The sequence below is a fragment of the Homo sapiens genome, chromosome 11 (assembly GCF_000001405.40).
Source record: "Homo sapiens chromosome 11, GRCh38.p14 Primary Assembly".
Lineage (NCBI taxonomy): Eukaryota > Metazoa > Chordata > Mammalia > Primates > Hominidae > Homo > Homo sapiens.
In genome coordinates this window covers 112,942,952-112,964,356 of record NC_000011.10, presented here as the reverse complement: position 1 = coordinate 112,964,356, position 21,405 = coordinate 112,942,952, and the positions used below count along the sequence as shown (strand labels likewise).

Below are 21,405 nucleotides of genomic sequence, written 5' to 3'. Positions count from 1 at the left end.
ATTTACTATGCAATTGCACAACCTTTCATTGTATTTCTAAAGAGCAGAGGACACAGAAAGAGGAGAGGGGCAGCCCATCGGACTCACTTGACGTATTAAGGTTAGCTTGCCTTATATGTAAATTTTCATATGCACCCAGCCGAGCACACAAACTCAGTTACCACTGCCCTGGACATGCTACATTTGAGTCCAAAAAAAAAACAAAAAAAAAAAAAACAAAAAAAAAACCTCAGATATATATACATATGTATATATACTTGTTGTTATGTTTTCATTTTCATTCTAACCCTTTGACTTGAATTCTTTGATTTTTTTAAAAAAAAACTATGGTACAAAAGACATTTTAATGGGAAATTATTTCTCTTTGGAAAACCATTCAACTTCTTTCTTTTGTTAAGCAACCTTGTATGTGTTTCACGTTCTGCCTTCTTCCCATCCTCAAGGTACCGGGCCAGGAAAGAGGTCGCTTTCATTCCAGGGAACACTGGTTAGAATGCCTCCCCTGCCTGGGCATCCAGGAACATCCCAGTGGGAATTCCTGGGCCTGCAACTTCCACGGGATCCAAATACTGATGACTGTACCCATCACGATGATGGAAAGGACCGCCAGGCGATCCCCCAAAAGGCCCACCAAATATCCGGGCTCCATTGTCACGCTCCCACCCGGGGGCGAGGATGTCTCAAAAACACCCCCCTTCCCCCGCCCCATGTGGACAGGTCGCGTCGCGGCACCCACGGGCACCGCGGAAAGGGGCATAACCGGGGTGGCCCCCGCCCAGGTGGCAGCGGAGACCCAGGGCCAGGCGGACTAGGCTTGGTCCCCACCCCTCCTCTCCGGGCCCTGCCACGGCCCCGCCCCGCCGTCAGTAGAGCCCCCGGCCCGCGGTCGGCCGGTCAGCGCACGCGCGTAGGTGTGCCTGCCAGGATGCCCTCCCCGGCGACGCGCTCAGGCCCGGATTCCGCGGCGCGAGAGTGAGCGCTGGCGGGGGCGGTGGGATGCTCCAAGTCGGCGTGAAAGAGGCGAGAGTGGGCGAGCACGGGCGGCCGGACCAGGAGCACTCCCGGTGACCACCTAGTCTCCATTTTATTTCCTCGGAAACTGCCGGGCAGGCGGGGGACCGGCCGCAGGGCGGGGTTTCTCTTGGCGGTGAGTGAGCGAGACCGTTAGGCTGAAGCACCGGGAGACTGTCCTGGCAGCTCCTGGCCGCCACCCGCGCCGCAATAAAAGCCTCTCGCGGCTTCCCGCCCAGCCAGCTTCGCACTGATTGGTCGCCGTGGGAGGGACCCGAGTTGGCTGGAGGCGGCGGCCGAGCGCTGCTCTTGTGCCGCCCGCGGAGGGGGCGCACTGGGTGCTCCCTGGCCCGCCCCGTGCGCTCCCCAACCGGGGGTCGGCCGTCCAGGGCAGGTACAACGGTACCTGGAGCTGCGACCGCGACACACAGCCCCTCCGCCCGGCTTTCCTCGATCGCTTCCCAGCACACGCCCCCCGCCCAGAATGTCCGCCCAACCCACCCAGCTCTCTGCGGCCCCTGCTTTTCTTCCTTCCCTCCCGTCCATCAGAGCCAAAGCGCAAATCCTTGGGTGGAGGTGGGGGGATGACAGCTGGAGGGGAGGGTGGGCACGCACAGAAGAATTTTCCAGGGAGGCCGGGATGGAAATAGCCAAAATGAAATGCACCTCCCTGCACACTGCCGAGGTTCTCTGGGCGGCGGCGCAACCCCCGCCACCCGCGGCAGCATCACTACTGTCTTCCTCCCAGCTCCCTATTGTTCACACTTTGCCAGGATCGGGAACCTCGCCCAAAGAAAGGAGACAGGGCGAGGTGTTTCGGGCGGCTACCTGCCATTCTTCTCCCGCCCCGTGCAACACTGGGCACGCGGCGCGTGTAAAGACACACGCGCGCACACGCGCGCGCACACACCAGGCAGCCCCAATCACGCCCTCCTCGCCCTCCGCCCCTCCGCACTTCCTCCTGTCAAAACGCGGCGCTCGACCCTCCCATCCTTCAGTGCTCGCGGCCGAGGGTAGGCTTTGCAACTAACCAGCAATTTGGCAAATGAAAAACTAACGTCATGTCGACTGGGGTGCAACAACGGTCACACCAACAACAACGGCCGTGCGATTCTGCCCATTTTGCCCCATTTTGCAAACCGTTATTCTTCTGGGGCGGGGGAAGCAAAGCAGCGATCCTGACTTTATTAGACCCAGGAATATAACGATCTGGGGCGGCTGCCCTAGCCTTATTGTTCACTCTTCCCGGAGCCGGGGCTGACAAGCCACTTCCCCCTCGGAATCCGAGCCCGTGCGGCGGCACCACCCGAGCCGCGACCTCCCCCGCCCCGCCGCCCGCCTTTGGGGAAGGAGCGCTGCCCATCACCAGCGCGGCCGCTGAGTCCCCAGGAGCCGGCCGGCTCTGCTCCCACCGCCGCGGGCGCACAAAGTGGGAAGGGCGGACGCGCCGGAGGGGCGCCGGGCGCTGGCGGCTCGGGGAGGCAGCCCCGTGCAGCGCAGCCCTGGAGGGAGCGGGGTTCGGCTGGGCAGCAAGGGCGACGCGCTCCTTTCACAGCTAAACGAAAATGACCAGCCTTAGCAGTCCACGTAAAACCACCCAAAATAATAGCGTTCCTCCTAGGAGTAGGAGGAAGGGGTAATTAGCAAACCAGATTGAGAATTAAAAAAAAAAAAAATGTACCTGCAGTTCCCAGGAAAAACAAAGTCCAGATGAGATCCTTAGTTTGCAGCATTGTAATCTGCTGGCTGGGAGGGATGTTCTTGCCGCGGTAAATTCTGTGCCCCCCCCCCTGCAGCGAGTGTGGACGGCGGCTGAGCGACAGACCTAGGGGCAGACAATTGCCAGGCTGAGTATGATTATTTTTGCAGAATTGTTTCCTGCCAGCGGCAGCCGAGCTGCGTTCACGCGCTGATCGGAGAATGAGTGACAGTCCCAGCCTCAGCACACTCGCAACTCGGAGATCCTTGCGCTGGCCCGGGTTCGTTTTGATGGAACTGGGATGGGAGCGAGGAGCGGGGGGCGGGGGTGAGAACCTCACTGTGTCCTTCCACCACGCCGGCCACAAATAGTGCCGAACATCAAGGAGGTAAGAGAGACAGGGGAGGCAGATGCGGAAGCCTGCAAAACGCGGCCTGGAGCTTTTGGGGGAGCCGGGCTCTTTCACACGCAGTCTCCCTGGGAGAGCTGGGATTTCTTTTCACACTTCTACCCTACGCCTTCGCAGGCGCTCCTGCTACCCAGCCTTCCTTAATCAGCAGTTTGCATATTTTGATAACTAGTAAATAATAAAAGCAAAATTTTAGATTTGGTTAGGTAAAGTTGTCAAATCCCTCCATTTCGATTCTAAGATCCTTGCAACACAAGGATAGCCCAGGACTTTAAGTGCGGGAAATTAGAACTTTGGAGAGGGATGGGGGTTGCCGTTGCTGGGTGTTGTTTGGATATTGTTTGTTTGTTTGTTTTATCCTAACTGTGAAGTTTGCTCTCCCACAGAGAGACATACAACACCCTTCAGCAGATCCCCTGGGAAGGAGGTGGGAAGAGACTTAAGTTAGAAGAAAACTCCGATGTTTGGAAGAGATTTCCAGAAATAACCCGAAGAAAATGTTTTCCTGTTTATAAATTCTGAAATCTGTGGTCTCTTTATTAAAATAGCCAGGCTTTTATATAGGTATTATGATATAGAAGCGTCATTAAATAATATTTTCTTACATGGGGACGTGACCTTAATTCTTAAAGATATTAATGTATAATATTACTGAGGTACCAACACAATAGGCTTTAATTAAAATTCCACCCGTGTTTTCAAAAGTAGGGGGTGGAGAAAGCGGGGTGAAAAGAATCATGTCTCAGCACCTGAAGGCTTGGGTATGTAAGGAACTAATGTGAGAAAGGTGTTCTAGATGTCAGGTTAACCCATTAGCCTAGAACACTGAAACCCTCTAACAGAGGAAGTCTGCATAAGTTCAAAGGCATTAAAGCACTAATGTTACCGGGTACTCCGTTTTTCTTCAAAGGTCGGCCTCCCCACTCCTGTAGCAGGTTTTTTGTTTTGTTTTGTTTTGTTTTGTTTCTGTTTTGTTTTTTTGAGATGGAGCCTCGCTCTGTCGCCCAGGCTGCAGTGCAGTGGCGCCATCTCTGCTCACTGCAACCTCTGCTCCCGGTTCAAGCGATTCTGCTGCCTCAGCCTCCTGAGTAGCTGGGATTACAGGCGCGCGCCACCACGCCCAGCTAATTTTTGTATTTTTAGTAGAGACGGTGTTTCACCATGTTGGTCAGGCCGGTCTCGAACTCCTGACCTCGTGATCTGCCCACCTCAGCCTCCCAAAGTGCTAGGATTACAGCCGTGAGCTACCGCACCCAGCCGCTGTAGCAGTTTTTAAAAGTCCATCCTCTACTGTCAGGACATCCATCCTTATTGGACAGGCCCCATCTCTTCCCCACTTTCCTCCTCTATAATAGACCAAGTGGGCCACACCAGTACAGTGTAATTAGCTTGGACCCCTGAAAAGTATTTCTTCCCCCAAGTAAATCTTCCACAACGTTTACTTTGGGCTATTTCTCTCATTCCAAGTATAAACAATTCAAAAGTACAGAAAAGTAGAAAGAACTAAAAATAACCCCAAATCCCACAGATTCCAGAGATACTCATAGATTTTGTCTTCTGTATGTGCATATGATTTTTATAATTGACATATTATAGTAGCAATTTGAATCCTGCTGATTTTGCCTAACATCAGTATAAGCATTTATTCCTCTGGATCATTAAAAAGCTTTTCTAGATATTTTTATAGCTATGTAATATTTCTTCATATGGATGATTTTGCAATGGTTTCCCCATTTTTGCATATTTATATTGTTTGTGGAGTTTGATAATATAAATAAGGCTTTTTTGAACATCTTTCAACAAATATTTGCGGAGCAACCACTGGGTTTAGCCCTGTGCTAGATGCAGTGAATTATATACGTCTTTTTTTAATGGTTGCTGTATTTAAGTGTCTTTGATTTCAGACTTCTGCTTCTAACATCTAAAATCACCACATTAAATATTACAGATTTATGTAAATGAATGTTATCAGACTCTTTCCTTAAAAAAGAGGTTTTGATGGTGAGGAAAGATAGAGAGAACAGGCAGGGGGTAGAGTGGGGAGAGTGAAGGTTGGGGCCCCCAAAATAAAAATTTTTCCAATTTTGCCCCTAAGAGTGAGAGACACATTCTTCCCTGCAAACCTCCCTCCTTATAGTCCTGTCAGTAGAATTAAAAGACTCCTCACTATTTTTCTCCCCAAATGTCCCTATTTTTAGCTTTTCAATGTAGGCAAGTGTGGAAATCCAATCTCACTTGAGTATGACTGAATTTCTTTTTTTTCCCTCTCTCTCTCCAGCCCCTCCCTACCCCGTGTGGTTGTTGATCTCTGTTGTAATGATTCATTCTAGAATGCTGCCCCAGTCATTCCAGTCCACACTCCCAGTATCACTCCCAAATTCTTTTAACAGGATATGTCACTTGTCTCCAATTCTGTATATCTCCGCTAGTCGGTGCCTACATCTGTGAGCTCTGTTGCGTTTCAATCCCTTCCTGATCCTCATTTTAAAATGGACAAAACTGTGGCCCTCACTGGACCTCTCTCCCCAGAGAGAGGCCCAGGCTGTCAGGCACACATTAATGAGCATCTACAAAGTGAACATCCATGGGATTGAGGCAGAGGAAGGAGACTCCAGACTGTGCTTTAGAGAGAAAGTTCTTTAGAGAGGAAGCAGAGAATGGTCCAAGAAGACAGCCATGGCAAGGAGACAAGCTAGGAGGCCATGATAGCTCTGGATAGGGTGACAGGGACTAATTAAGAAAGCGACAGTGGGAAAGGAGGCAAAAAGGAGCCCAGATTTGCAATTCCAAGATAAGATAAGAACAGGTGGACCTGGGTATGTTGTGAAGATGGAAGTATGAGGCAGAGGAAGAAATCCAAGTTCCTTTCATTCATTCAACAAATATTTATGGATTCTCAACTAAGTGCCTGGCACTGCTCTGGACACTGGGGATGTAGCCGTGGACAAAGTAGAGCCTTTGCCCTCATGGGATTTCCTTCTTATGGGGGAAGACAGAGAATAAATCCTTAAACATTTAGTAGTGTACAGATGGTGATAAGTGCTAAGGAAAGCAATAAGGAGAGATAAGGGGACAGAGAGTCTGGGGCGGAGAGGGATTACCATTTTGTTTAGTGGAGCTATACGGGTGTATGTGATACAGATCTTGAGAAAGTGACAACCGCTAAGGGTCCAGTGTGGGCAATTGAATAGTTGCTGGTAACATTGACAGGGAGCAGAAGAAGAGGGGCAGATTCAGACCAGGTGATAAGCAAAGAAGCAATGATGTCAGCTCTGCACATGCTAAGTCTGAGATGTTTCAGAGACATCCAAGTGGAAATGTGTGGAAGACAGACAGAGAGGGCCCAGAGAACATCAATGTTTAAGGTACAGGCAGAAGGACTTATCAATGAAATACTGAAAAACAGACAGCTAGAAAGAAAATTGAAACATGACAATGTCACAAAACCTAAAGAAGAAAGCTTTGAGGTGGTCAAAAAAGAGGAAGATTTAAAAGAATTTCCTGAATTTGACCATTGGAAAGTCCTTAGTGGCCCCTGGGGGAACAGTATTCATGGAATGGAGGGAAAAGGAGACATCATGGTCCCAGAAATGAAAGGGAGGGGAGGAGAGAGAAGCCAGGGGTGTGGACTACTCTCTCCAGCAGTGTGATGTTGAAGGAGTAGTGGGATAATGGCAGGGAGGCAAGCTTGTGGGAGAAGGAGGCTTAAAAGACAGTTTTCTTTTCTTCTCTTTTAATGTGAGGACTTTATTATCAGGTTATAAAGTAAGTTAAATTGGTGTTAACTCTTGCTCAGCACCACCAAGACCTTATGCACTAGCTTGACTTACACAACTTGAAAAATGAACTTGGAATAGTGCCCTAATTTAGAGCTTCTTTCCTATTGTTATTGACAATGGAGACCCCAGGTTTGATCTTAGGACTCACAGATACCCTAAGAACTTTATTTCACTATTGATACAGGCAAAATGGAGTCTGAGAAGCACAGCATCTTAAGACCAACACAAGAGACAGGTCTTAAGACAACTTAAGACCTGAGGCTAAGAGAGGCTGAAAATCTTCTTCCCGTTTTTGTTTGTTTGTTTGTTTGTTTGTTTTACTGGGTTGTTTGTTCTGTTATTGTTAAGTCATAGGAATTCTTTATATGTGGTAGATACCAATCTCTCATCAGATATATGATTTGAAAATATTTTCCTATTCCATGGGTTGCCTTTTCACTCTGTTTATAGTGTTTTTTCCATATAGTAACATTTTTAATTTTGAGAAAGTCCAACTTAATCTATTTATTCTCTGGCTTATCCAAAGAACTGAGCATGAGCCAGGAAAGTGTAAGGACCAGGAGGTAAACTTGAGCCCACAAAGCTAAAGAGTGAAAGTCTCTCGGGACCCTCCCAGCTCACTCTTAGCTTCTCATGTTCCAAATCTGATTGACGTGAGAAATTACTTACAAACTCTAACCCATGGCGGGGCTGGGGCAACTGATGTGCTTCCTCCCTGTTCAAGGCTGGCTCAGGCACTGGTTAAAGACTAGCGGGCACTCATCAGTCAATCCAGCTCAATGGTGCTGGGGACTCCCAAACGCGGGAGAAATGAGACAGAGGTTGACATAGAACCAGTGCTCCTTTGTGTGGGTTGTGCACTGCACAGCTTCAAGGGGTGTTTTGCAAATCCCACCCATCATATATTTATGCAGTTGTTATGATGATTTTTTTCTGGCATCAGTGGAAGTAAAGCATCAAGGAAGAGGTGCTGTTTTCATTTCCCTTTTTTTTTTTAATTGTGCAGAAAGTTTATTAGGAATTACTTTCAGGATCAACATCTGTGTGGGAAGGGAAATAAACAGGTTACTAATAAAGAAGAGGAAATTGGGCCTCAGGGCAGGCACCACAAAACCTCAGCCCCACCTTGAGAGGTCTGAAAATAGTTGTAATATCCTCATATTGACTGATCACCCGATTCAAGCCACCCCAAGAATGCAACCTGGCCTTGTGAGAGGTCATTCTTTTCAGCTGAAGGAGGGCATCCCCAGCATCTGGAGTAAGCCCTCCAGCCCTGAAGGGGGGCTTTGAACAGCTTAGCATAGTCCCCACTACATGATTTTAGCTATACTTCAAAATAGTAAATTTGGTTTAGCCTTGCTTTGACTATGCGGGCTCCTTTTGGGTTCCATATGAATTTTAGGATTGTTTTTTCCTAGTTCTGTGAAGAATGATGGTGGTATTTTGATGGGAATTGCATTGAATTTGTAGATTTTTTTTGGCAGTACGGCCATTTTCACAATATTGATTCTACCCATCCATGAGCATGGGATGTGTTTCCATTTGTTTGTGTCAGCTATGATTTCTTTCAGCAGTGTTTTGTAGTTTTCCTTGTAGAGGTCTTTCACCTCCTTGGTTAGGTATACTCCTAAGTATTATTACTTTTTTTGCAGCTATTGTAAAAGGAGTTGAGATCTTGATTTGATTCTCAGCTTGGTTGCTGGTGGTGTATAGGAGAGCTACTGATTTGTGTACATTAATTTTGTATCAGGAAACTTTGCTGAATTCTTTTATCAGTTCTATGAGATTTTGTAGTAGTCTTTAGGGTTTTCTAGGTAGACAATTATATCGTCAGGTTTTTTTCTTTTCTTTTGTTTTATTGTGGGAAAATATAAAACACGCATGACATAAAATTTACCATTTAATATGTACAGTTCTGTGACATCAAGCATATTTACATTGTTGTGCAACCATCACTATCATTCATCTCCAGAGCTTTTTCATCTTCCCCAGCTGAGACTCCGTACACATGAAACAGTAATTCTCTATTCCCTTCTCCTGCCCAGCCCCTAGCAGCCACCATTCCACTTCCTGTCTCTATAAACTTGACTACTCTAGGTACGTGGAATAAGGAGAATCATACAGTATTTATCCTTTTGTGAACAGTTACTTTCACTTACCATAATGTTTTCATGGCTCATCCATGTTGTAACATGTAATAATTTATTCCCTTTTTGGGGCTAAATAATATTTCATTGTATGTGTGTACCACATTTTCTTTATCCGTTCATCTATTGATGGTGACTTGGTTGCATCCACCTTTTGGCTATTGTGACTAATGTTGCTATGAACATGAGTATACAAATATCTGTGCGAGTCTCTGTTTTCACTTCTTTTTGGTATATATATCCAGAAGTAGAATTTCTGAATCATATGGTAACTACACTTAATTTTTCGAGGAATTTCCATGCCATTTTCCACAGGGACTGCACTCCATCTTACATTCCCACTTGCAATATATTCTTGCTAATGCTTGTATTTTCTTTGTCTTCTTCCTTTTTTTTTTTCTGATAGTAGTCAACCTAGTGTAAAGTGGTGATTTATTATAATGTTGTAAAGTGGTAATTTAGTGTAAAGTGGTAGTGTAAAGTGGTAATTTATTATAGTGTTGACTTGCATTTTCCTAATGTCTGATGATATTAAACATGTTTCCATGTGCTTATTGACCATTTCTATATCTTCCTTAAAGAAATGTCTTTTCAAGCCTATTGCCCATTTTTTAATTGGGTTGTTTGTTCTGTTGTTGTTAAGTTGTAGGAATTATTTATATATGGTATATACCAATCTCTCATCAGATATATGATTTGAAAATATTTTCCCATTCCATGGGTTACCTTTTCACTCTGTGTAATAGAGTTTTTCCCATATAGAAACATTTTAATTTTAAGAAAGTCCAACTTATCTATGTTTTCTTTTGTTGCCTATTCTTTTATTGCCATATCCAAGAAATCATTGTGAAATATATGTCTTGCAGCTTTTCCCCTATGTTTTCTTCCAAGGGCTTTATAGTTTTAGTTATTACATTTTGATCTATTTTGAGTTAATGTTTGTATGTAGTATAAGATAAGGATTCATATTTATTTATTTATTTATGTGCATGTGGATATCCAGTTTTCCCAACACCATTTGTAGAAAAGGCTACTCTTTTCTCATTTAATAGTTTTGGCACCCTTGTCAAAAATTGTTTGACCATATATGCAAGCGTTTATTCCTAAAGTCTCTATTCTATTCTACTGGTCTGCATATTGTCTTTATACCAGTACCACACTGTTTTGACTACTGTGTCTTTGTAGTAAGCTTTGAAATCAGGAAGTGTGAGCCTTCCAACTTCATTCTTCTTTTTCAAGACTGTTTTGGCTATATGGGGTCTCTTAAGCCTCTATATGAATGTTAGCATGTACTTTCCTATTTCTACATGAACTATCATTGAGATTTTGATAGGAATTTAGGGGTCCTGTTTTCTAATCTACCAGAGTTGTTACTTGGACTAAGTGTTAGAATCATGCTGACATCTCAGAGATGAGTATATTTAGACAAGTTACTCCAGAGTTATGGAAACTGAGTCACAGAGAACTGTCACAGATAACCATTTGAGCAATCTATTCATTTCAATGTAAATACTGAGGGATGAGGGAGAATCAAATCACAAGAATCAGGCCATGGAGTGTGCACAGCTTTAGGAAGTTAAAGTGAACTAGCAAGGGAGAGATAGTTATAAATGGTTCCTGGGCTCTGAGCTGAATTCAAACTCCAGGCTGCCTAACTCCCTGTTTTGTCCCTGAAGAAACAAACAAACAAAACCCTCTGAAACCGGTCACTTAATAGACAAGGAAAGAGCTAGAGTCTCCATGTCAAGATCTTAAAAATCAGAAAGCATGACTGAACTTATGTTAAAGACACAATAACTTCCTGGCTCCCTTCTATGTATCCTCCCACTCCCCGGTGGCAATGAAGTGACGTGGATGAGTGTTCAGCTCCAGGAGTTTGACAATCCAAGTTTAAATCCTAGCTTCTCCACCTGTAGGCTCTCTGGATTTGGGTATATTACCTTGACGCCTGTAAACCTAAATTTTCTTGTCCATAAGATGGGATTAGTGCGACATCTAACTCTCAGACTCCTTGTGAACATTAATTAGAATAAGATATGTAGAACTTAGTGCAAGCCTGACACTCTTATTCAACAAGTATATAATGAACGTCTATCACATGCAAATCACTGTTAGTAGTCGGGAATACAAAAAGTGAACAAAACACACATGTTTACAGACTTGTCAAGAAGATGAATAACTAAACAAAGAGATGAAAAAATTTTAAGTTGTAACTAGATCCATGAAAGAAATAACAGGATTCCTTGACAAAGTATGACAGCAGAGATCAGGGAAGGCTTCCTGGAGGAGATGACATGTAAGTTACAACCTACATAATGAAAAATACCCAGCCATGGAAATAGCAAGTGGAGTTGCATTCCAGGAGTGTGCAAAGATCCTGAGGGCAGAAAAGCATGGATGGTTCCAGAAACTAATAGAATGCCAGGGTGGCCACGATAGAAAAAGCAAGGGGAGGAGGGACACAAAATAAGGCATGAGCTAAGCACAATAGCTACCATGAAGGCTAAAGTAAGGAGTTTATATTTTATTCAAAGTTCAAAGAAAGCCCCTAGAGGATTTTCAGCAGCAGAGTGACATCTGTGTGTGTGTGTGTGTGTGTGTGTGTGTGTGTGTGTGTGTGTAAAGGCTTTTCATTTAATAAGTAAAAATCGTGGCCGGGTGCGGTGGCTCACGCCTGTAATCCCAGCATTTTGGGAGGCCAAGGTGGGTGGATCACCTGAGGTCAGGAGTTCGAGACCAGCCTGGCCAACATGGTGAAACTTTGTCTCTACTAAAAATACAAAAATGAGCCAGGCGTGGTGGCAGGTGCCTGTAGTCCCAGCTACTTGGGAGGCTGAGGCAGGAGAATCGCCTGAACCCAGGAGGCAGGGGTTTCAGTGAGCCGAGATCGCACCACTGCATACCAGCCTGGGCAATGGAGCAAGACTCTATCTCAAAAAATAAATAAATAAATAAATATCGCTAAGCTTCCAGAAGTTCTTAAATAGGATTTCAGTTGGAGACATGAATTATTTTACATGTTTTAATATGCACTCCAACTGCTGAGTGGAGAACATCTTGTAGGGAGGCAGGAGTGGGTGTGGAGAGGCCAATCAGAAACCACTGCAGAAATCCAGGAAAGAGATGATGGAGGCTGGGGAGGCGGTGGAAGGGATGCAGACAAGTGGAGACAGAATTGACCAAACTTGCAGATGGATGTGAAGAACAGTGAGGAGAAATCAACATGTAGAAGATGCAGGATATGTTTGCTTGAAGGGGAGGGGAAATCAAGAGTTCAGTTTGGGACAAGTTAGGTCTACCTTTGAGACATCCAAATGGAGACATAAAGATGATGGTCAGATATGAGAGCCTCAAAGTCAGAGGAAAAGTCTTAGCAGGAGATATGACTTTCAGAGTCATCAGCATCCACAGTACCTAAACCATGGGAAAAAATGAGACCACTTAGGCAAAAATATGGAAAGAGAAGAGCAGAAGACCCAGGCTTTGACTCTGAGAAACATCCATATCATGAGTTCAGATAGAGAAAGAACAACAAGCAAAAAGACTGAGATGAGATGAAATTGAAGTAGGAGGCCAACCAGAGGAGAGCAGTGTCTCAGCACCAAGAAAAGTGAGAGTTTTGTAAAGGAAGGAGGTGTCACTCTGGTGAATGCTGCTAAGAGGCCAAGTAAAAGGAGGACAGAGAAGAAAATCCACTGGGTGTGGGAACATGAGAGTCGTTAGGAACCTTCACAAGAATGAATTCACACTCTCTGGGATCAAAGTGAGTGCCTAACAGATGTTAACTATAACAGTAATAATAATAAGGTCCCTGCTTTTTCCTTATTTGACCTTGTGTGATGATAGAAAGACATGTGGGGCCTCATCAAGGGACGGGAGTGCAGCACTGGACAATTAGCTATTCACAAGTAGAGGTTGGTTTTATTTTAAGGAGTAGCTAGGACTCCATTGCTTTTTATGAATAATTATCATAGCAGTTGTGGGCAACTGATGTTTTAGAAGATTTGATTACATCAGTACTTGCAGGAAAAGGAAAAAATATTTTTGTTTCTCCCCTGCTATCTTTATTTCTCCAATTTAATCCTGCCCATCATCTTCACCACTCTTCCTCTGTGCTTTCTGTGGTTGTACTGCTTCCCTTTGTCACACATCAGAATACCATTCGGCATCAGCCCCAGCACCAAAGAGAGGGGCCTTGTAGGCAGAGCCAAGGCTAAATGTAGGTCTCTCTAGGTTCATATATATCTTTGGGTCCAGAGAGATGCCTATCCAGGGATCCCACGCCACCTTTTCTCCTAAGCACAAGCACCCTAGAGAGTGAGGAAAGAGATAGGAAGAGGAGGAAGCAAGAAGGCTGCTATTCACTATGGTTGACAAAGTCATTCATCTCATCTTCCCCCCTCTTCTTTGCTAAAAGAACTGAACTGTTTCCCCAACCTTGACACAGCCATGGCACAACATCTCAATACTCTGGCACCATCCTGAAGAAACAGAGTGCCTAGATGATGTTGTTAGCTCTACAATAGTTACAGAATCCTAAAGAGCTCAGAATTGGAAGTCAACATGGATATAAATGAATCCCCACCTATGCCTTCCAAAGGCTGGCAGACATTTTTATCCTTGCTCCTTTGCTCCTTGGGTGCCAAGATTTCCATAGCTTCCAGGGGCTCCAAGGAGACACAGCATTCATTCCAGTCATACACTCTGCAAAAGAAATTCCTTGATACCTCTGCAAGAACTGTGGAGTGTGGAGTGAGCCAGGCATGTTCCAGCATGGGAGGCTCCCACGCCAACCACCATCTATCCTTGCACAAACAAAGAAGAAATCAAGAAGAAAGATTCTACTCAGTGAGTCTGAGCAGGAGAGAACTGTGACAAACACCAGACCTCTCCTCCCATTGCCTGTCACTGCCCCACCCAGTGTTCCACCATAAATATCACTCAGAATGTTTGTTGAAAGAATGGAATCAACAAGCAAACCCACAAATAGCTCAAGGTTCGTTTGCTCTGGGGCTTCGGCCCAGGATTCCTTCCCCAGCTCCCATGGCTGCTGTTCAGGCACTTGTCATATCTCACAGAGTTGGCTGCCAAGCCTCCTGACTAATCTCCCCACCTCCACTCTCCCCTTTTCAAATCCATCTCCCCCAACCCCCAGAGCCATCTCCTTCAAAGAATAATTATGAGAAGCTGAACGTGTCACGTACCTACCTAAAACCCTGTCATGGCTCCCCATTTCCCCCTGGAATGAAGTCCAAGCCCCATGAAGGCCTTCTGAGGGACCAGGCCCCTGCTCTCTCAGTCTCACCTCTTACCTCTTCTTATGTCACATGGTGGACCTGAGTAATAGCACACACCAGCACCATCCTGTGTAGGCAGACTCCAGCTCATCCTCCAAGCTTTTATGGAATAATCTCTTCCCTGACCCTTCCCTTCCCACCTCTTGCTCCTTACCCTCGTCCCTTGGGTTGGGTGCTCTTCCCAGAAGCTTCCAGGATCTCTTGTACTCACCCCTATCACAGCACCCAGATCCCACATTGCAATCTAATTGCCTGTTTCTGGCTCTTTTTCCTCCACTAGCCAGTGAAATTCTATAGGACAAAGACTTTAATTTTATGTATCACTAGTACCTAGCATGTTGGCTGGCACATAGTAGGTGTTCAGTGCTTATGATGGAATGAATAAATAACGTCATCAATAAATTCTTCCTAGACCACTTGCCTTGGATGTGGTAAAAGCTACCTTTATACTATTGATATAGTTTGGCTCTCTGTCCCCACCCAAATCTCACTTTGAATTATAATAGTCCCCACATGTCAAGGGCAGGACCAGGTGGAGATAACTGAACTCATAAGGGTGGTTTCCCCCATGCTGTTCTCACGATAGTGAGTGAGGTCTTGTGAGATCTGATGGTTTTATAAGGGGCTTCCCCCTTTGCTCAGCACTCATTCTCTCTCCTGCCACCCTGTGAAGAGATGCCTTCTGCATGCTTGTAATTTTCCTGAGATCTCCTCAGCAATGCAGAACTGAGTCAATTAAACCTCATTCCTGTATAAATTACCCAGTCCCAGGTATGTCCTTATTAGCAGTGTGAGAACAAACTAATACAGTAAATTGGTACCAAGGGTGTGGGGCACTGCTATAAGGATACCCCAAAATATGGAAGCAACTTTGGAACTGGGTAACAGGCAGAGATTGGAACAGTTTGGAGGGCTCAGAAGACAGAAAAATGTGGGAAAGTTTGGAACTTTACATAGAAACTTGGAGGACTTAGAAGACAGGAAGATGTGGGAAAGTTTGCAACTTCCTAGAGACTTATTGAATGGCTTTGGCCAAAATGCTGATAGTGATATGGAAAATGAAGTCCAGGCTGAGGTGGTCTCAGGTACAATGAGGAACTTTTTGGGAAATGGAGTAAAAGACACTCTTGTTATGCTTAGCAAAGAGACTGGTGGCTTTTTGCCCCTGCCCTAGAGATCTGTGGAACTTTGAACTTGAGAGAGATGATTTAGGGTATCTGGTGGAATAAATTTCTAAGCAGCAATCATTCAAGAGGTGCCCGAGCATAAACGTTTAGAAAATTTGCAGCCTGAACATGCAGTAGAAAAGAAAAGCCCATTTTCTGGGGAAAAATTCAAGCTCTGCATCCCAGCTGCTGTAGCCATGGCTAAAAGGGGCCAAAGTACAGCTCAGGCCATTGCTTCAGAAGGTGTAAGTCCCCAGCCTTGGCAGCTTCCATGTGGTGTTGGTCCTGTCAGTACACAGAAGACAAGAATTGAGGTTTGGAAACCTCCACTTAGATTTCAGAAGATGTATGGAAATGCCTGGATTTCCAGGCAGAAGTTTGCTGCAGAGGTAGAGCCCTCATGGAGAACCTCTGTTAGGACAGTGCAGAAGGGAAATGTGGGGTCAGAGCCCCCACACAGAGTCCCCACTGGGGCACTGACTAATGGAGCTATGACATCCTCCTTCCCCCAGAATGATAGATCCACCTACAGCTTGCGCTGTGCCCTTGGAAAAGCTGCAAGCACTCAATGCCAGCCATGAAAGCAGTGGAGAGGGGGAAGCAAAGCCACAGGGATGGAGCTGCCTAAGACCATGGGAACCCACCTCTTGATCATCATGACCTGGATGTGAGCCACAGAGTCAAAGGAGATCATTTTGGAACTTTAAGGTTTAATGACTGCCCTGTTGGATTTAAGACTTGCATGGAACCTGTAGCCAATGTAGTTTTTGGCCAATTTATCCCATTTGGAATGAGTGTATTTACCCAATGCCTGTACACCCTTGTATCTAGGAAGTAACTAACCTGTTTTTGATTTTATAGGCTCATAGGTGGAAGGGATTTGCCTTGTCTCAGATGAGACTGTGGACTGTGGAGTTTTGAGTTAACACTGAAATGAGTTAAGACTTTGGGTGACTGTTGGAAGGGCATGATTGTGTTTTGAAATGTGAGGACATGAGATTTGAGAGGGTCCAGGGGTGGAATTATATGGTTTGGCTCTGTGTCCGCACCCAAATCTCACCTTGAATTGTAATAATCCCGACATGTCAATGGCAGGAGAAGGTGGAGATAATTGAATCATGGGGGTGGTTTCCCCCATGCTGTTCTCATGATAGTGAGTGAGTTCCCATGAGATCTGTTGGTTTTATAAAGTGCTTCCCCCTTTGCCCAGCACTCATTCTCTTTCCTGCTGCCCTGTGAAAAGGTGCCTTCTGCCATGATTGTACATTTCCTGAGGCCTCCCTAGCAATGCAGTACTGTGAGTCAATTAAACCTCTTTTCTTTATAAATTATCCCGGTCTCAGGTATGTCTTCATTAGCAGCAGGAGAATGAACTAATAAAACTAGGTAGGAGTTGCTAAGGGAAAAATGCATACAATGGTGACAACAATTATAGGTTTAGCACGTAAAGTCAAATTTCACCTTAAGATGTCTTAGAAAATCTTAGAGAATCTCAGGCCAGTCTCTGAAACTAATCTCTTATGGTTCTGATTCTCCTATCCCAGATTAATCAAGAAGATTCTATTTTCTCACTAATGTCATCCTTTTTCTCCTGATGAAGCTCAGGTGCCCTGGCACCATGCCTATCTCGACAGTAGTTTCCTCTGGTATCTTAGTGCCTCCTTGAAACCCTGGATTAGCAGCCCCCAGATCTCTGCAAAAAGATCCCTGCAAAGAGATCTGTCCTGGTTGATGGCTCACAGCTCGTATTTCCTCCTCTCTTCTTCGCATTGTCCTCTTTTCCTCCTGTCTAATGCTGGGCCCCTTTTTGCTTTGCAAATGCAGTTCATGATGAAATAGGGCAGCAAAACTCTGTGTTAATGATTTTCCATCTTTCTGTTTGCTGGATAATTTTAGGTTTCTTTTCTTCCTCTATGATTTCTAAACAAGTGGATGGGGACATTATTTCTCTTCTTAAAAACTCTGTGTCCCTGGGTCACAGTACAGACTAATTTATCCACTGGCAACATTTTTACTCACTTTGTCTGCTAAAGTAGTGAGAATACAAATAGTTTCTGTGTTCAATTAACCTCCCAGCAGCATGAGGGAGTTTGGAGCAATAAACAATACCTTTCCAACTTCTCAGCATCTTGCTCTGCCTACAATGTCTGCCCCCTTACCTGCTACTTGTGTGTTTTCTAATTTGTTAAGATCATTCTCAATGTGTTGCTCAGAGCAGAGCTTATTTCTCCAAAAGAGGTCCGGTCAATGTGGAGGCCAGTGGAGCCATTGCCACTTCAGCTCAGAATGCTACGAATTGTCCCATTCAGTCCAGAGTCACTCTGATTTGCAACTAGTTATGCAGGAATTAAAATCCCAGTACAGACCTCTCTTCCTATCCAACCTGTCTCATTGTCCGAATGTGCCTTGGAAAACCTGATATGAGAAAATTGATAGAAAGAAAAGAATATTTATGTTGCACAATGATTGCTAAAGGATCAGTAAAAAAGTTACTATCTAAGTTCATTCAGATAGTTCTATGCTCTTACTTATTTGTTTAAGCACCTCTATATTTCAGGGCTTATGCTAGGCACAATCTAGTGATAAACAAGACACCCTTTCTCTCCTCATGGATAAAGAGGAAGAAGGAGGACAGAGGAAATCAACATTGGTATGTACATTTTTGGGGGCAAACCATTCTACTTACATACATTTATTTACTCTTCATATGACTCCCTGAGGGAGTCAAAGAAATTCCATACTTTGTTCAAGGATCTGAGTCTAGGACTGTCTTTGGCACTGTAGAAGCTGGGTTCTGCAGGGATAACAGCCAACCTCTAAGTCTTAGTGACTTAAAAACAACTAACGTTATTTGTTGAGGGTTCTGTTCTATGTTGTCCTTGGTCGGAGACTCAATCTGAGGAAGGCTCCATCTCCATGATTCCATGATTATGGAAGCAGAAGTTAAAAAGGAGAGTGGTGAGTTGAATCACACATAGGCCCTTAAACTTTCCATCTGGAAGTGGCCACATCCTTTACACTTCCAGTTTCTTGACCAATACAAGCCATATGAATATTCCTACCTTTAAGGAGGCAGGGAGGTAAAAATCTGTTATGCCCAGAGGGAGAATCAGAAATATTTAATAAACAGCCTAATAACTACTACAGGCTCCAAAGCCTACATTCTTTTCCAGTACATTATATTCACAACTACTGGGGAAGATTAACTACTTTCAAAAGGGACAGGGGCAGAGATACATAAATCCAGAGAGCTAGGAGCCAATACCAAAGAAAGATCAAAATCAGGAATGAAGATAAGTTATCTTTGAAATATACATGAACATCAGTGAGGAATGGGATCCTTTTTGACACGATTCAGATTTACCCTCCAAATTTACAAGCACCAATAATAATACACACAAGAAGTGAGACCTTGCTATCATGAGATCTTTTAGGATTTTAATAACTAGGACGTGGTTCAAAGACCTGTTATACAATAGCCAATTTCTGGCTAAAATTTATGTTATGACGAGGTTTCCAAGTATAAGGAAAGAGCCTGCCACCTTTCCTCAGTTCTTTCTGTTGCCCTTTTGCTATAGATGAAACTACTGGAGACTGGGGTTGTTCTCATTTATTTCTGACATAATATCCTAGTAATTAGCTGTAAATTTAAAAGTGATAAATATGCATGAGAGCCAAGCTTGGAAGAGCTGCATAGCTCCACACAGATAGAGATAAGCCATCCATAGAGAAGCAAAATTATGGAAATCCTTATCATAATCTAGGAATAAAGATAAAGCCTCACCCTTTCCTAGGCATAAATGTTGATTCATAGGTGGTCCAAATGAGATCATTATGCACTACATCAGGCAACGTCACATATTGTTCATCTAATAGCACCGTGCTTAGTCACTGAGAAGCTCAATTACTCAAAATCAGACACCAAATATCACAGAGGAGTCCCCTTAGGCCCTCCCTACTTTAAAACACACACACACACACACACACACACACACACACACACACACACACGCCCCTTTCTGCTCTTCAAGTTAGGAAGAAAGTTGTACATTCTGAAACCACTTATGAGTTTAAATCCCAAGACAGCAAAATGATACAACTGCATGGTAATGTGGATTACCACCTGGGGGAAGATGGCTAAAGCACCTCTGTCAATGCACTTGAACTGAGAGGACTCTTTTCCAGGGCCAGCTTCTTCAAGACACCAGAGGATAAAGGGGTCTGTTTGGATTTTAGAGAAATTTGATCCACTTGGTTGCTTACACTGGGGTGGGTGTCTTGCTGTGATGGAATGCATTTTTCAGCTACGATCTGCTGTAGTCATTTGACATGTGCCCTAACAATGAACATATTTTAATATTACTTTACATTTTAGAGAATTAAAAGGCAAGCATTGATATGAATAAAAAGATTTGTTCGTATTCTAAACACAAAGGCTAAAGTCTTTCCATCTTTAATTAATGAATTATTTTATTATTTATTTGTCTGTTGAGACAGGGTCTTGCTCTGTCACCCAGGCTGGAGTGCAGTGGTGTATTCATGACTCACCGCAGCATCAACCTCTTGGGCTCATGTGATTCTCCCACCTCAGCCAAGTAGCTGGGACTATAGACATGTGCCACCACGCCTGGCTAATTTTTGTATTTTTTGTAGAGATGGGGTTTCACCATGTTGCCCAAGCTGGTCTTGAACCCCTAAGCTCAAGAGATCTGCTCACCTCAGCCTCCCAAAGTGCTTGGATTATAGGCATGAGCCACCGCGACTAGCCTAATTTATTTTTTTAATCTTTTAATCTTCTAAAATAATCACTGTGATTTAGATCTGGGGACTGCTGTTTTTCTCTATCTGTGTGAGTAACCAGAGTGAAGGTAACCACAATGCAATATCAACTTGACATCCCACAAATACTCATTGAACACTTAATATGTGTAAGGCACCGAGCTAGGTGCTACATACGTGATAAACACAGTTTAGACTTATTCACATTTGGTTCATCCTAGTTCAGATGTTTGTTTACTGTGTTAGTAATTCATTAAAGATTCATTTACTTAAAATAAAAAAAGAAAAACACCTTCAAACCAGACTAGTCTGTGTTTTCTATGTATGCAAGTGTTAGATACAGTAAATGAGATGTGGATTTATTAACAATATGTAAAGGAAGAAAGCAAGTTCATAACCTTTACTCATTTTTTTTAAAAAATGAGAAACCATATTTACACTAATCTTCCCAATAAGATTTTCTTTTTGTCATCACTTCTCCCCTAAGAACGGTACAGTGGCTTTGTAATGCCTGGGGCACCAAGCCCAAGTTCCCTTTTCTGGACTTCAAGCCTCACCCTATCCTACTAAGTTGATTTCTCCCTGTTTCCTGGCATGAATCCTCTATTAAGGTCAAATTGTTCCCCTCCAGTTCCCAAACATATGCCCTGCTGATTCATATGGGCACTCAAAAAACACTTACTGAAGCCTTGCTTTATGTGCCAGGCTCTGTGATGGGCCTGGAGAGAAATACGATGCAGTTTTGTCTTTAAGGAACTCACGGTCTAGGGTATGAGAGTACAGAGACAGGCACGTGAAGTAAGCACTAATCGTGCACAGTGTACTTGGGGCCCCTCAAAAGGAGATAATTGTGTGTGTGTGGTAGGGGGAGATGTGTATTGAGGGAGAGGTCAAGGACAGCTTCAGAGGAGAGGCCAGCTGAGCTGGTCATTGGACATTTGCCAAATGAACAAGTGGAGAAAGGGTATTTTGGGCAGAGGGACATTCTGTTCGAAGGAATGTTCTATTAGGTCATATTGCTCCTCTAGAAATGCTCTTCACTCTTGTCTGTGGCTGTTAAACTCCACTTCATCCTCATTTTTAGACTAGCAGCAGACACGCTTAAGACGGGGGGAAAA

At 44.2% G+C, this 21,405-nt stretch overlaps 1 protein-coding gene and 1 long non-coding RNA gene across 32 annotated transcripts in view, besides 1 other annotated feature; one reads left to right on the top strand and one right to left on the bottom strand.

Annotated features, from left to right (window-relative positions):
- Positions 1-2,937, bottom strand: part of NCAM1 (neural cell adhesion molecule 1) — a 317,017-nt gene extending 314,080 nt beyond the window's left edge. For all 31 annotated transcript variants that reach the window (NM_001242607.2, NM_001400616.1, NM_001400621.1 and 28 more), the window contains exon 1: positions 2,693-2,937. In NM_001242607.2, coding sequence (NP_001229536.1) covers positions 2,693-2,744 — 52 coding nt within the window. In that variant the 5' untranslated portion in view covers positions 2,745-2,937. The remainder of the gene's footprint in view (positions 1-2,692) is intronic.
- Positions 897-5,078, top strand: NCAM1-AS2 (NCAM1 antisense RNA 2). The gene is made up of 3 exons (NR_120563.1): positions 897-1,147; positions 2,881-2,990; positions 3,506-5,078. It is a non-coding gene; the product is annotated as an NCAM1 antisense RNA 2 (long non-coding RNA).
- Positions 2,217-2,994: an enhancer, noted in NCBI's record as "H3K4me1 hESC enhancer chr11:112832085-112832862 (GRCh37/hg19 assembly coordinates)". NCBI's record gives its function as "activates a minimal SCP1, AML or CMV promoter by ChIP-STARR-seq in primed H9 embryonic stem cells {active_cell/tissue: H9 hESC(primed)}" and the evidence as "EXISTENCE:reporter gene assay evidence [ECO:0000049][PMID:30033119]".